Raw genomic sequence first — 11,637 nt, 5'->3', positions numbered from 1 at the left:
AGGGTGGCCCACAGTGGGTTAAGATGGCAAGTCGGGGGGGCCAGGTGCGGTGGCTCACGCCTGTAATCCCAACAGTTTGGGAGGCTGAGGCGGGTGGATCACCTGCGATCAGGAGTTCGAGAGCAGCCTGGCCAACATGGTGAAACCCTGTCTCTACTAAAAATACAAAAATACCAAAAAAAAAAAATAGCTGGGCGTGGTGGCATGCACTTGTAGTCACAGCTACTCGGGAGGCTGAGACAGGAGAATCGCTTGAACCTAGGAGGTAAAGGTTGCAGTGAGCCGAGGTCACACCACTGCACTTCAGCACCTCAGCATGGGCAATAGAGCGAGACTCCGTCTCAAAAAAAAGAAAAGAAAAAAAAGATGACAAATCAGCTTATGGCAGGGGCAGAAGAGGAGGCCTGGCTCACAAAGATGGTCTCTATGGACGCAAACCTCCCCCAGCAAGACAGCTTTTCAGCTATTCTTGGATTTCTAGCCCTTTTGAATAGCCATCTTAAAATATGCCAAAAAGTATATTTTGGAGTGAAATATTTTCATTTCCTTCAATATACTTATTATTCTGATTGTGGTGGTAGTTCCATGGGTATAGACATGTGAAAACATACCAAAGTGTGTATTTTCAGTGTGTGCAGTTTCTTGTCTGTTAATTGCACCTTGATGAAGCTGTTTTGAAAAAGGAAGATCTTCTTAGGATTCCTCACTTCCTGTGACTCTCCCACAGCAGCTGGGGGAATGGGCCAAGAGCAGAATCTGGTGACAAAGTAGCCTTGGGTGGCTTGGTTGGCCACACACGCCACTGAAAGCACCTCTCCCAGGAATCCAGTCGCCTCCAGTGCCTGCTGAAGCAAGAAAACCCTCCAAAGGATGACTCCAGCTGTGTCTGCATCATAATTAAGGCTGCAAAAACCCAAAATGAATGAAGTCTCCCCAGCTAATGTGCCACTTCTAATTTAATCTAATTGGCCTCTGAAAGAGAGCCTTGGCCTGCCTCAGAGGCAAAATCTTCCAAATGAAGTGAATTTAAACTAATTTAAGCTAACTAATTACAAACTGGGGGGTATTGTCACAAGACAATTGTTATTGTTCTTTGATTGCTTGCTCAACTGGATTATTTGCTCATTACCTTCAGAGCTGTTGGGACTTTCATGGGGTGCCCCTTGCCGCACATCAATAAGGCATTCTACAAGGCAGCCTGGAGTGGAGGGTCCCCACACCAGATTGGCATGGGAGCGCTGAGGATTAGCTTGGCTTTCTGCGTGTTTGGAGAATCTTAAAGCAAATGCACAGCATGTGCTGCTCATTCAAATAACCTGCAGCTAACTACACCTCTTTTTGGAGACGTAAGTTTTTCTTTAGCTTCGGGATGTAGGTTATGAGTTTTGAGGTCATCTGTTGAACCAACCTCTTTATTGTTCAGTCGTTCTGACCTTGAGATGCAGCTCGTTATACCTGGGTAGAGATCTGAAGCAAAAGTGGGGAGAAAAAAAAGACCTGTATCCAAGCCTGTTTCTCAGCAGCTGTGTGAGGTAGCTGTGCTGCCACACCTCTCTGAGCCACAGGCAGAGATCTGGTGGAAAACGCATGAAATTTGCAGACCCATCTATCTGCTGCTTCTGGTTTGAGCTTCAGTTCCCTCCTCCCAGGCATGTTAAATTTAGCCTACAGCTGCCTCCTTACTTATTTTAAGTGTAACAAATGTTATGTTACATTTGGGACCTGTGTGGCTAAAGGCTTCTCTGCACAAAGGGAACTGTCACTTAACTGGATGTGAAAGGGGCTGTAACCTACTCTTGTGACAAGCAACCATACTTCAACCACTCACAGGTGGCCAAGTCTTCCAACTGTGTTCGAGTAAGGCCAACGCTGAGCTGTAGCCAATCAGGCTGTTTCTCTGCCTCACTTCTGTTTTCTGTGCTTCACTTTCCGTTCTCTGCCCGTAAAGACTCTCACCACACGGCAGCACCAGAGACGCTCTGAACCTCTTCTGGTCAGGGGGCTGCCTGATTCCCATATCATTCTTTGCTCAATTAAACTCTGTTAAATGTAGTTTGCCTCAGTTTTCCTTTTAACAGGCAGAAACTACCACCTCACAGAATTGCTATGAAGACTGAACATGGTCACTCTGTGAAAACATTTCATAAACTGTGTGTCGCTTGCGAATGCTGTTATTTTTCTCATCTGTAAAATAAAGGAATTCAACCAGGGGATTTGAATAGTTTCTGTATTCATTTCCTGTGGCTGCCATAACCAAGCACCACAAATCGGGTGGTTCATAGCCACAGAACTGTGTCCTCCTGCGGTTCTGGAAGCCGAGTCTGAAATGAAGGTGGCGGCAGGGCTGTCCTTCCTCTGACGGCTCAGGACGAGTCCTCTCCTGCCTCCTCCAGCTCCAGGCGCTCCTCAGCATGTGGCTGCTTCGCTGGGTCTCTGTCCCACCTCCACATCACCTTCTGCTCTGTGTGTTTCAAATCTCTCTCTGCCTTTCTCTTGTGAGGACACTTGTAATTGGGTTTAGGGCTCACCTGGGTAATTCAGGATGATCACATGGCAACAGCCTTCACTTGATTACATCTTCAAAGACCCCATTTCCCAAATAAGGCCACCATCCCAGATTCTGGGTGGACACTGTGGGCAGTGGCACCATATTCAGCCCACTGCAGCCCTCCTTAGCTCTGTGGTCCTATCTTCTTCTGGATGTTACCATTTGGTCTAAATTTCAACCAGTCTGAGTTGCATATTGAGTGGTACAAAAGCAATGGCCACATTTGATGTTTCTTGTCTGAGAATGTATGTTTCTTCAATATTTCCATGAAAAATATGCATCGAATATTTTACTACGGTAGGAGTAGGGGCCAAGTATAGGGCAAAAACTTATTGATTACAAGTTTATGCAAATTAGACAGCAAAATGAAAATTTCAAGCAGCCTTGGCACTACAACAAAAAAGTCTGTCTAGCAAGAGATTGGATTTAATTATTAAGAAAGTTGGGGGCCGGGCCTGGTGGCTCATGACAGTAATCCCAGCACTTTGGGAGGCTGAGGTGGGTGGATCACCCGAGGTGGGGAATTTGAGACAAGCCTGACCAACATGGAGAAACCCTGTCTCTCCCAAAAATACAAAAATTAGCTGGATACGGTGGCACATGCCTGTAATCCCAGCTACTCGGGAGGCTGAGGCAGGAGAATCGCTTGAACCCAGGAGGTGGAGGTTGCGGTGAACCGAGATTGCACTATTGCACGCCAGCCTGGGCAACAAGAGCGAAACTCTGTCTCAAAAAAAAAAAGAAAAAAGAAAAAGAAAGAAAGTTGGGAGAGTGACTGTCCCACTGTGCTGTTTGATAGAATCAGTGTCTCTGGGTTAGTGGCTTTTGGCAGATGTCTGCTAGTCTAAAAAGCCACAGTTGAGGGTAGAAAGAAGAAGATTCTAGAAAGAATGCTCATAATGGACAATAATAGCTCTTTCTACTTCCGGGGAATCTTTCCATTTGGGAACACTGAAGTGCTTTGCAGACAGTCGTTACAATTACACAAGCGTTGGGATGTCCATGTTCTCGCTTCCTCATGTTAGACATTGAGCCACTGAGGAAGTCTAAGGACATGGGGTGTGTCATTGGAGAAGTGCCCCTAGCTGACTGTTGAGGGTAAGCAGAGCCACAGCCTCCAGATTTTATTCAAGGTGAAATGGACATTGGGTGAGCTCTCTTGTTCTCAGATGATCTGCTTTATAGTACAGGACTAGGGCCATAGCAGTTGCCATCAAAGTGGCTGGATTTCAATTACCTCCAGCCTGTGGACTGACAAGGTCTGGGTCGACTGTCCCTCCCTCCCTTAGGCTGGACGTGCTGAGGCACATGTGATGGGGAGTTGCTGGGCTGGTGACCACCTGACATGTCCTCTCTGTACTTCCTTCCCCAGCATCACTGCCCACCAGTTCCTGCTCTAGCCAATGACTCAGTCTCAGCGCACCCACTCGTCAGTACTCGCATGGAGAAGAACTCTGACTTCTCTGATTTCTGTTCCAAGAAGGCGGTACATGGACAGCAGTCCTCTTGGAGGACTATGGAGATGGCTCTTGATGGGCCTTGGAGAGGGGCTCCAGCTCTGAGGACTGTGCTCTGGGACTTGTGCTGGTTGTTTGCACCTCCAGGTCCATTTTCCATCCTTCTCCACCTGCTCGAGGCCCTGGGAGGCTGACCCGCAGGACGGCATCAAGGGTTCCCCTGCCCCAGGGCTGCCAGCTGGGTTCAGTCAGTGCACAGCCTCAGAGGGAAAGCGAGTCTGGACACTTTATTCTGGTGCCCTCAGGGGTACCTTGGACTGGCCACAGCCCTCGACCTGCCATCTTGGCTCCTGACAGGCAGCTCCTCCACTCTGCCCTCTCTGTGTGGGGTTCTGGCAAACTTCAAGCGTAGGGGTAGCAGTGAAGCCCCCAGCAGTCACTGTGAGCCCTGAGGCATCGCAGCCCCTTATGCCTTTCTTCCCCCCACCCCCGTCCACATGGTTGTGGAGGATTCCTTTGTGAAATTCTCCTGAAATCATCCTGAGTGTGCCATCTGTTTCCCACAGGGCCCCTGACTGGTTCCTTTGTTTATAAAAATGGAACAGTAATGCCCATCTCATGGTGTCTTCAGGATTAAATGGGTGAACACATGAGAAGCATTCAGCATAATGACCCGTAGTTTTACATGCTCAGTAAGTGCTAGCTCGAGACACATTTTCCAGTGGAGCTGGTGAGTGCGTCAACTCAGTTCAATTCAATCCTGCCAATATTTATGAAGCCCCCACTAGGTGCAAGGCCAGAGCCAGCCATTTCCCAAGTGACAAAGGTGCGTGACTGAATAGGCACAATCCACTCCCTCCGAACACTTGGAGCCCTCACAAGCGGCGGCCTCATTGCCCTCTCTCTCTCTCTCCACTTCAGTCACCATTTGACAAATATTTCCTGAGGGCCTACATTCTTCGGGGTGCCATGTTAAGAACACCTTGGGATAAAAGAGTGAGCAGAATAGATACCTCCGCTCTCAGAGAGTGAACAGCCTGCTGGAAGGAGACAGACATCAGTCCATCACTCGGATCCCTACGTTAGCGAGTGTGTTTCACAAACTGGCATCAGGGCTCTAAAGGAAGAAAACTGGCTTCTGTAAGGAATGAGACCTGGCCTGCATGGGGGTCAGGGGATGTTTTGCTGAAAACACAAACGTAGACACAACCCAAGCCAAGCAAAAGGCGGTGGCCAGGGCAGTGCACTCAGAACACCATGCAAAGGCCCTGCACAGGGAGGGCGCCATGTGGCTGGAGCAGAAACAGGGAAGCAGGGGCAGCTGGTGGGACATGGAAGATGACACTGGAGAGGCTGGGGGGCCAGATGGTGCAGGGTCTGTAGGCCAGGGTTAATATTTTAGCCCTTATTCAAAACACACACAACCAAAGTCATGTGTGTGTGTGTGTTCTCAGCTATTTCAAAATGTTGCTTTGGCTGCAGCAAAGAGAATGGGCTGGAGAGTGCAGGATAGATATGAAAGAGCCACGAGGAGGCCTCTGCTATAGTCTGGGAGGAGGATGACTGACAGCTTGGGCCGGAATGGTGCCAGAGGAGAAGGGAGAACTGGACCTGTTCAAAGACATCAGGAAAACACAAATTATGGGGGGTGGGGTGGGCTGAATATGGAGCGGGGGGCGGGGAATGAAGGAGAAACTTGGGGGTGGGCTGGATATGGAGGGTGAGGGGGGCTGTCAAAGAAAAATCCTAGACTTCTGGCTGATTGGTAACGTCATCACCCAAGAAATAAAATATTGGACAAAGATCTGGCTTGGTGTGGAAGGTCAGGAAAGACCATGAATTCAGTCTTGTGTGTGACATGACTTTTGAGACATCGAGATACAGAAATCAAGAAGCAGCTGGATATGGGGATTTGGAGCTCCAAGGGGAGAGCTGAGCTGGTGATGTGAGTTTCACAGCCATTAGAAAACAAATGGTAATTAAAGCCATGGGCTGGCCCCGGAAGACTGCCCAGCCAGAGAGTCCATGAAGAACCCCAGAGAGCTAAAGGCAGAGCAGGAGAGTGTGGGACAAAAAGCAAAGGAGTGTGGCAAGAAAAAGGGAGTAGCCCACAGTGTCTGATGCCCTGAGAAGTCAGGAGGGGAACTGGGAAGTGTCTGTTGCATTTAGCAACATGGAAGTCATCAGTGACCCTGGCAAGCATCCTTTCAATGGGCCACAGAGGTCAAAGCTGCCTGGGAGTGGCAGGAGGAAACAGAGGGAGTTTTTGTACTCACTGACTTTTTTTTTTTTTTTTTTTTGAGACAGAGTCTTGCTCTGTTGCCCAGGCTGTAGTGCAGTGGTGCGATCTCTGCTCACTGCAGCCTCCACCTCCTGGGTTCAAGCGATTCTTCTGCCTCAGCCTCCTGAGTAGCTGGGATTACAGGTGCCCACCTGCTAATTTTTGTATTTTTTTTTTGAAACAGAGTCTCGCTTTGTTGCCCAGGCTGGAGTGCAGTGGTGCGATCTCGGCTCACTGCAAGTTCTGCCTCCCGGGTTCACGCCATTCTCCTGCCTCAGCCTCCCGAGTAGCTGGGACTACAGGCGCCCGCCACCACACACAGCTAATTTTTTTTTTTTTTTTTTTGTATTTTTAGTAGAGACAGGGTTTCACCATGTTATCCAGGCTGGTCTCGATCTCCTGACCTCGTGATCCGCCCACCTCGACCTCCCAAAGTGCTGGGATTACAGGCTTGAGCCACTGCGCCCAGCCCTCATTGACTTTTGTTTTCCATTTTCTCAAGAGATTTGACTGTGAAATGGTAGCTGGAGAGGAGTAAGAGGGTCAAGGGAAGGTTTATACTTTTCTTTTAAGAAGTGAGAGACTTAAGCATATTGGTCTGTGAGACAGATCCGGTGAGAGGATGTAGTTGAATATTCAAGAAGGAGCCAGGTGGACATGGCGCAAGGCTCACTAAGAAGGCAGATGGATGCCATCAAAGCTCAGAGGCAGGGTTTGGCTTAGGAGGAGGGAAGCAGATTGGGTGCGAGGCAGATGTCATGAGACTTCTAGCCAGTCAGGAGAAGCCAAAGGGCTCCTACCTAAGGATTGTATTTAATCTGTCAAGTAGGAGGTAGGGGGTTGGTGGTTTGAGAAGAGCAGTGTCACCCAGGCTGGAGTGCATGGCTTGATCATGACTCACTGCAATCTTGACCTCTTGGGCTCAAGTGATCCCACCACCTCAGCCTCCCAAGTGGCTGGGACTACAGGTGTGCACCACAACAGCAAGCTAATTTTTAATTTTTTTTTTCGTAAAGACGGGGTCTTGATATGTTGCCCAGGCTGGTCTTGAACTCCTGGTTTCAAGTGATTTTCTTGTCACGCTCATCTGAGTGAAGAGACCACCAAGCAGGCTTTGTGTGAGCAACAAGGCTGTTTATTTCACCTGGGTGCAGGCGGGCTGAGTCTGAAAAAGGAGTCAGCAAAGGGAGGTGGGATTATCATTAGTTCTTACAGGTTTTGGGATAGGCGGTGGAGTTAGGAGCAATGTTTTGAGGGCAAGGGGTGGATCTCACAAAGTACATTCTCAAGGGTGGGGAGAATTACAAAGAACCTTCTTAAGGGTGGGGAAGATTACAAAGTACATTGATCAGTTAGGGTGGGGCAGGAACAAATCACAATGGTGGAATGTCATCAATTAAGGCTATTTTCACTTCTTTTGTGGATCTTCAGTAGCTTCACGCCATCTGGATGTATACATGCAGGTCACAGGGGATATGATGGCTTAGCATGGGCTCAGAGGCCTGACATTTCTCACCTTGGCCCTCCCAAAGTGCTGGGATTACAGGAGTGTGCCACCTTGCCTGGCCAGACAAATATTTATTAAACTTATTATGTGTTGCCAAAGAATAAAACAAATACCATCAGAACCATACATAAATACATATTATAGCAGTAATAATAGTGATAATAACAATGCTGAGTTGATTTACTGGCCAGACAAGGGAATATACCAGTGAAGAAATTTACTGACATGTTTTCTGGGAGGCAAAAACTTAGGGTTTTGATTTTGGTGGTGTTGTTGCTTGTTTTTTTTTTTTATTTTAAATAATTTTAAAAAATGGTTTTTCTCAGTGGTTATGCTAATTAAGGATTGGCAACATGCAAGCTGGGTAGGACAGAATGAGGCCTTTAAGTCTCAATAAGCTTGGTTAAGAAAAGCCGCATACGCTGGGCGCGGTGGCTCACGCCTGTAATCCCAGAACTTTGGGAGGCCAAGGCGGGTGGATCACGAGGTCAGGCGATCAAGACCAGCCTGGCTAACACGGTGAAACCCCATCTCTACTAAAAATACAAAAAATTAGCTGAGCTAATGGTGGTGGCACGTGCCTGTAATCCCAGCTATTCGGGAGGCTGAGGCAGGAAAATCGCTTGAATCCGGGAGGCGGAGGTTGCAGCGAGCTGAGATTGCCCACTGCCCTTTCGCTGGTCACAAAAGTCATTAGCGAGATCCTGGGCTACTTCAGCCGGTTGGAACCAGTAGAGGTGAAACACAGCAGCCCTCCGTTTAATGTTTCCCCAGCAAGGGCTGCTCTCAGAGAAAGTCTTTTCCTTTTGCAACACAGTGTGTTGTCTATGCCCTGGAGACACACGGTAGTTCCTGCCCTAAGAGTCTGTGGGCAGTGAGAGCCCACAGGAGGGTAGCTGACCCAGCCCTGGGGAACCCGGCCTTCAGAGACCTGCCTGGTGGCCGGGAATTACCCTGGACAAGTGAGCTCAGGGTGGGCTGAACTGTTTTCCCCAGATGGAGGAAGCAGCCAGGCCTGCACTCTGAGGTCGTGGAAGCCAGGCAGGCTAATAAGAGTGTGGACCCCAGAGCCAGTGCGTCTGAACTAGAATGTCCTTCCCCTGCTTCTCAACTGTGTGACCTTGGAAATGCTGCTGAGCTTCTCCAAACCACAGGTTCCTCATTTGCCAAAGGGGAGTGCTAACTGCACTTAATCATAAGGGTGTGGTGGGACCAAATGAGATAATTCATATAAAAGTGCTCTTAGCTTGATGCTAGGCGTGTAATAAGCCTTAACAAACGCGAGCTATTATTATTGCTCAGAGCAAAAGAATGCAAGAGAAGGAAGGAATTTGGCAAAACATATACCTCCTTATTTTACAGATGAGGAAGCTTGGCTAGCAAGATGAAGTGACCTTCCTAAGGTGAGCTGATTTCTAGCAGAGCCAGTCCTGGAATATGGGTGTTCTCTTTTTCAGTCTCATCTGATGAAAAAGAAGCAATATGTTTAGTACCTACAAGCAGGTTTCGGAATCAGAGAGGCCTAGGTTCAAATCCTGGCTCTACCATTTCCTACTGTGTGACCTCGGGCACAAGAGTAAAGCTGTTTAAGCTTTTGTTTCCTCCACTGCAAAGGTGGCTAAACACCTCCTCAGTGGGTTGTCACAGGAATTAAGTCAGATGAAAGGCATTGAGGACATAGGCAAGAAACCCAGCAGATGGAAGCTTCTTCGTGCCCTTTCCTGACCTTTCCTTTCCTTTGCTAAGACTGAACCCCCAAATGAAGCATTGCATGGAAGCTAGGCTGGAGGCGGGCACCCAGCCCTAGAGTGAGTGAGTGGTGAAGATTTCCCCACCCCGCCTCGGGTTCAGAGCAGTGGTCTTGCGGAATTTGCCCAACACAACAGGTACAAATTCATAGTCACAGAGTGAGCTGTGCAGGAAAGGCAAATAAAAGTGCAAAAGTGACTCTGGAACACTCAGCAGGACAGCTGGGGCAGGGGAGTGGTGGGAGAGGTGGTGTTCAGGGTGAAATGTGGGGTGGGATGACATGCACTGGGCTTTAAATGCCCTGCTCAAGGGCTGTTTGTTCCCAGACAATGGGGAGTCATGAGAGGTTTGGGAGTGAGGGAGTGGTGAGATCTGAGTTACTTTGGAATTACCCTCTGGCCTTCAGGAGTCATTCAGCATGAGGGCAGAGATGGGAGGGAGGAGAAGGGGACTGGCAAGGAGGAGGGAGGTGGAAGAGCTGTTTCGTAGGCAGAAAGAAAGTGCCCTGATGGGACGTAGAGGTTCAGGAAGGCAGGATTTATGCTGAGGTTATATCAGGAGTGGCAATGCCATCCGGCCCACATACTGGAATCCAAGATTTATTCCATATGTGTGTCTGAGGTTAGGGGAGGCGCTTTTGAGTACGTTAGAGCCTATAAGTCCAGTTCATTGTAACTTTCCTTTCACACGGAAGCCCTCACGTCGTTAAGGCGCTGGTGGAAAAAGAAACCCCTGCCCTGGGCCCTCCTTCCAGGGGTCTTCGCTCCCACCAGCCTCAGTGCAGGTCAGACCTCAACTGGCTCCCACCCAGATGGTGGCTCTCTGTTTCTGTCCCCTGCAGGCTCCTCTACGTGCTCCTTTGGGAGAAGCAGATGCCTTGGATGACATCTGTTAGAAAACTTGGATGGGCCTTGGCTGGGCGCGGTGGCTCACGCCTGTAATCCCAGCACTTCGGGAGGCTGAGGTGGGTGGATCACGAGGTCAGGAGATCGACACCATCCTGGCTAACACGGTGAAACCCCGTCTCTACTAAAAATACAAAAAATTAGCCGGGCATGGTGGTGGGCACCTGTAGTCCCAGCTACTCGGGAGGCTGAGGCAGGAGAATGGTGTGAACCCAGAAGGCGGAGCTTGCAGTGAGCCGAGACAGCGCCACTGCACTCCAGCCTCAGCGACAGAGTGAGACTCCATCTCAAAAAAAAAAAAAAAAAGAGAAAACTTGGATGGGCCCCTGGCATCCTGAGGAGTGCGTTTCAAACCGTCTGCAGTGAAGGACCAGTTTCTGAAACATTCCCAACCCATCACAGGTCACTGCTTTTGTAAAATACAACAAAGAATGAATTTCTAGAAAAATAGAATTAAAAAGACATGTAGAATATACCTCCCGGATTTTTATTATTAGATTACAGAGACATACATTTACTGTGTCAAATCGCTGTAACTTTTTAGCCTCCGTTTCCATAAGTATTGTGGACAGGTAACCATTTGTAGTCTGGAGGCCCCAGGGTAGCCGTGGCCAAGAGGGCAGAGCACGCCTTCCTCCTGCATTGGCGCCCTCCCTCCGTGGCCTCGCCCACCGGCTCTCGGGGCACGCTGACTCCTCTCTCACTAACACGCTCCACTTCGTCGCTCTGGGTTACACACTCACTTCAGCTTTCTCATGCTATTTTGTTTGTTTGTTTTTGTTTTTTTTTGATGGAGTCTCGCTCTGTTGCCCAGGCTGGAGTGCAGTGGTGCCATCGCAGCTCTCTGCAAGCTCCGCCTCCCAGGTTCACGCCATTCTCCTGCCTCAGCCTCCCGAGTAGTTGGGACTACAGGCGCTCGCCACCACGCCCCGCTAATTTTTTGTATTTTTAGTAGAGACGGGGTTTCACCGTGTTAGCCAGGATGGTCTTGATCTCCTGACCTGATGATCCTCCCGCCTTGGCCTCCCAAAGTGCTGGGATTACAGGTGTGAGCCACTGTGCCCGGCCTCTCATGCTATTTTATGCTCCCTCAGCTCCAGAATGCTCCACCCTGGCTACCATCCCTCCATATCTGCTGCAGCCACTGTGTATTGGGCGTATCCCAACTTCCATGATTTCAGTGAATCTGT

Source organism: Homo sapiens, chromosome 9 (genome assembly GCF_000001405.40).
Source record: "Homo sapiens chromosome 9, GRCh38.p14 Primary Assembly".
Classification (NCBI taxonomy): Eukaryota; Metazoa; Chordata; class Mammalia; order Primates; family Hominidae; genus Homo; species Homo sapiens.
The sequence above is the reverse complement of the archived record's forward strand: the minus strand, read 5'-3'. Positions refer to the sequence as shown.